The sequence below is a fragment of the Homo sapiens genome, chromosome 4 (genome assembly GCF_000001405.40).
Source record: "Homo sapiens chromosome 4, GRCh38.p14 Primary Assembly".
Lineage (NCBI taxonomy): Eukaryota > Metazoa > Chordata > Mammalia > Primates > Hominidae > Homo > Homo sapiens.
Window position 1 is genome coordinate 68,516,233 of NC_000004.12, and position 5,226 is coordinate 68,521,458.

Here is a 5,226-nt window from a genome sequence, read left to right on the forward strand (position 1 = left end):
TTAACTTGGCCCATATTTTCCCTAATAAAGAGATGTAGTTAATAAAGTATAGATTAAAAGCTTGAATGTTCACTTTCAACAAGATTTTAATTCACAAAGCAAATAATTTCTCAGTTGTTAGTGAATGATATACAAACACTAGAAACCTCAAATTTTAGGTTTCTGTTTCTGAAATAGAGCCAGTATACCTCTCAACTGTGAAGGAATCCTTCTGTTTATAGAGAAAAATATTTTAATACCTAAATAAGAAAACTGAGGTACACAAAGAGAAACAAGTTTCTCAATGCTGCATTGATAGTTATGCTAGAAATATGTGTAGCTCCTCATCTAAATGTCTGCCTTCATCAAGTTGTTTATTGATATATGTTTTGCCTTTTTTAAAGATGAAAAAAGTATAGTAAAATACGTATATAGTTGCTTAAAGAAATCATAAGTGCTTTACTTTGTAGTTTTTTTTTTTTTAATTCCTGTAGTGTCCTATAGGAGTGATGACCAAAGGGTTCTAGCTGAGCCTATAATATCAACATTTCTATAATATTTGTGAGATTGATAGATCATCTTACATTTGGCATTCATCATTTCATTTAAACAACACTATCCTCTTACATTATATTTATATACGCTCACCTTCAAAGGCAAAAGGAAAGTTAGGACTTATTAATCATTGATTAGAAACATGACTTACCTAGAACTTCACTGTAAAACTTCTCCCACTTCTCGTATCAAACATTTGAAACCAAAAGTCAAAATAAAGCACATGTATTAGATTTTTAATCCTCTCCACGAATGTCATTTTACCACTTAATTCAGACAGAACAGCAGGTATGCGGGAAATGGGGAATGGAAGTCCTCCATTATACTTCTCAAGTGTGTAGCCAGGAGACTGTCAACAAAGGACATGTATTTAACATGCCTTTAACATGCTCAGCTAGCAGTTCACCACAGGCACCAAGGGCATCTGCAAGAACGACATCAAACTTTGACTCTTGTAGTTTTGTCGTAATTTTCTTGTTCAAAACTACATCTTTACAGAGATTATTAACACAGTCTGTAGATTCCCAAAAGAGTTCTTGTGCTTGTGAAAAATATGACCAAAATGCATCTTTTGGAAGATCGTATATCCATCTATTGATCAGTTTCACAACAAGACCCTCAAAATTATTTTTAATTAGAGATGTTGGATAAACTTCAAATTTAATAGCAGATGATTTACTAGGGTCAATAATAATGGAAGCCGAAGATGTCAACACAGTCATCTTGTGGCCTCTCCAAACAAGTTCATCCAGGATTGTCTTTATATTCATCCAATGGCTGTATTCTGTGGGCCACAGCAGCACCTTTCCACAACTCCCAGAGCTAAAGTAACAACTGAGTTGTATCAGGAGAATATTTGACATCGATTTCAATGTCCTCCTGGTGCAATGCAATGTTTCTTTTCAAATTGCTGTTTCTTTCTGTCTTTCTCATACTTACATCTGAGCATAAATCAATCAAGTGAAAGTATAACTGCTACAATTCAAAGTAGCAGTTACCATATAATTTCTAAATTATCATAGGAATTGTCTGTTACCATACAATTTCTAAATTACCATAGGAATTTTCAGATTGTTTTTCACAGTGGTTGCTTCCATTTCCATTCTCACCAGCAATGTATAAGAATTTTAATTTCTTCCCAACATTGCCAACACTTGGGATTACATTTCGTTTGATTATAGCCAGTGTGAATGAAGTGATATCTCATTATGCTTTACCTTTCCTTGATATGAAATCATGTTGAGAATGTTTTGCCTAGTTTTGATTGAATTATTTGTCTTCTTATGGACTTGTGTTTTTAATATTTTTGATGTAAGAACCTTATCACATGTATGATTTCCTTGTATTTTTTTATTCTTTGGGCTGTCCTTTTACTTTCTTAATGGTGTTAATTGAAGCACAAAAGTATTGATTTTAATGAAGTCCAACTAATCAATTTTAATTTGGTTGCTTTTATTTTTGATTTTATATCTCACAAACCATTTCCAAGTTATGAAAATTAGTACCTGTTATTTATTATTAGAGTTTTATAGTTCTAGTGCTTACATTTAAGTTTTTGATCACCTATGAATTAGCTTTTGTAAGTGATTTGAGGTAGAGGGTCCCAACTTAATTATTTTGTATACAGATAATCATTTTTCCCACTTATATTTGTTGAATAATCTATTCTTTCCCCTATTAAAACGTTTTGAAACTTTTGTCAAAAACTTTAAATGCATGGGCATATTTCTATGTTCTAAAATCATTCCATTGATCTACATGTCTATCTGTAGGCCTGTATCACACTCTCTTGATTATCATATATTTGTATTTGTCTTTAAAGGCAGGAAATGTAAGTTTTCCAGCTTTTTTTTATTTAAATTGTTTCAGTTTTTTTTTTAATTTTTTTCTTCTTGTTTTTTTTTTTTTTTTTTTAAGAGATAGAAGTCTTACTATATTGCCCAGGCTAGATTCAAATTTCTGGGCTCAAGCAATCCTCCCAACACAGCTTCTTGAGTAGCTGGAATTACAGGTGTGTTTCACTATACCTAGCTTCTTTTGGCTATTAGTATGTCTCTTGAATATGTACATAAATTTCAGGATCAGTTTGTCTGTTTATACAAAGAAGCAATCTGGGATTTTGATACGGATTGCATTGATTTGGTATATCAGTTTGGGGAGTAGAGTATGGTCATTATCACAATTTTAGGTCTTTCAATAAATGAAAATGAGATGCCTTTCTATTTATTTAGATGTTCTTATTTCCACAGTGTTTTGTAGATTTTGTTACAGTGGCTAGCTAGTCAGACACAAACAGGGCAGAAGAGGGCTCCCACACCCTACCAGGAAAGTCAGGTGACCATCAGTTAATGGCCAGGCAGTTGTCACACTGTTTAAAACAATAATTGGTTGCAGCCAGCCAGGGAAAGGCAGATTTCTTATAGATAGAAAAAATCAAATCTGGTAATCAGCAGCTTCCTGATAAGATCTCAGCAGTTGGGAGAGTGGGTTCACACACACACATTAAGAGGCCAAATGGTGGAGTACGACATTCCGGGGGCACCAGAAAAGGGAAGAATGCCTCAGGGGAGCATGCATATGACTCCAGTAAATATACTGTGCATGCTCATCTCCTAAGTGGTAGCAGGCCATCACACATGCCAGCAGGTCATTCTAAGGAAAGAATCAAGGAAAAGGGAAGCAGGACCCGGAAAGTATGCCAACATATAAAACCCTAAGTCAAAGGTCAAACACCACACTTTACCTTCAAAATGGCTACTTGTATCTATCCCAAGTGTACTTTCCTTTCTTTCCTGCTATAAAACTTTTTAATAAATTTTCACTTCTGTTCTGAAACTTGTGCTGGTCTCTTTTTCTGCCTTATGCCGCTCAGTCAAATTCATTCTTCTGAGGAGGCAAGAATTCAGGTTGCTGCAGAACCATAAATACTTGCTGCAGTAACCACCGCTGGTAATAATGTCACAGTAAGAGTTGTACAATTTTTTGATAAACTTATTGCTAAGAATTATATTTTTTCATGGTATTATAGGGGTGACTGTGTAATCTTTATTTTAGTTTAAATTTCCATTGCAATTGTGTAGATTTTTTGTTTGTTTATTTACCTTGTATCCCAAAATCTTGTTTTATTAGTTTACTTGAATATTTTTTAGTGGATTTGTAAAAATTTTCTATTATAAGATCATGATATATGCCAATAGAGACAGTTTAACTTCTTTCTTTCTAATGTGGATTCCTTTTATTTCATTTTCTTTCCTATTTGTTGGCTGAAAGTTCTACTGCAATATTGAGTGAAAGTGAGAAGAGTCAGTTTAGTGTGATGTTAGCTGTGTGTTTTTTTATAGACACTATTGATCAGTTTTAGAATGTTCCCCTTTACTTCTAGTTTAAGTGTTCTTATCATGAAGAATATTGAATTTCATTAAGTAAGTTTTTCTGCAGTTATCGAAATGATTATGCAGTTTTTTCCTTTATTCTAATGATATGATATATTAGTTGGCTTTTTCAGATGTTAACATAACTTTGCATTCCTGGAATAAAGTTCATTTGTTTATGGCATTTAAGCTTTTCATGTGTTCCTGAATTTTGTTTGCTAGTGTGAAAAGAAAGTAAAAATCTTGAGTCATTAAACTCACTATGTCAAAGAGAAAAGTTAATCTTGGGAAATGAAGCATGTAAAATTGGCTCCCATTTTGTTCCTAAACAGATAGCTGCAAAGATAGAAGGCCACATACCTCCCCAGATGGCCTCCTTCCCAATTTACTCACAAGGAAATTCACAAGGCCCTAAAACAGAGTTCTCTTGAATTTTACCCTGACAATATAAATTAACATTTTATATTCACAGGTATATAAAAGACAGGACTTGAAGCCATTGTGTGGTTTTTAGCATAAGGGCTTACTGAATGGTGGTTATGTTTTCTCCTCTTTTATTTTTTGGAGAATTAGTTATTTTAAATACTTGATAGAAGTATAGAGCTTTTATATTTTCTACTCTACCATTTCCAGTTATTACCCAGCTATGTTTTTCTAAATAATATTTCATTGGAAGCCGTCAGACACTGGGCTTTTCTTTTATGGGAGACTTTTTCTTACAGCTTCAATCTTGTTACTTGTTATTAGTTTGTTCAGGTTTTTTATTTCTTCATGGGTCTATTTTGGCCGGTTGTATGTGTCCAGGAATTTATTAATATCATCTAGGTTTTCCAAATTGTTGGTATATAGTTGTTCATAATATTCTGTAATAATTTGTGTTTCTGTAATCTCAGTTTTTATGTCTCCTCTTTCACTTCTGATTTTATTTAGTGGGTCTGTTCTCACTTTTTCTTACTTAGTCTAGCTAACAGTTTGTTGATTTTGTTTACTTTTACAGAGTTTACCTTATTGACTATGGCTGCTTTTGTACTACAATGGAAGAGTTGAGTAGGCACAGGAGTCCAAAGGGTTTGCAAATTCCAAAAATGTTTACCATCTGAGGCTTTATAGAACCTATTCTGATCTCTGCTCTACAGTAAGCAGGTTCGTTTTTTCCTTTAACCTTTCTATATATTCAATGCAATTTTACTAAAACAGTATAGATTTTTAGTGAGTGAGCCAGATGGTTTACGTTTAATTTTGTTAATAATTAGTTAATAAATTAATCTATTTGTATTTCCATTTTATTTAGAATAGGTGAATTTGTTTATTATGTGGAATG

General features: G+C 33.0%; 1 pseudogene; it reads right to left on the bottom strand.

The window, feature by feature from the left end:
• Nucleotides 685-1,438, bottom strand: UGT2B29P (UDP glucuronosyltransferase family 2 member B29, pseudogene; annotated as a pseudogene).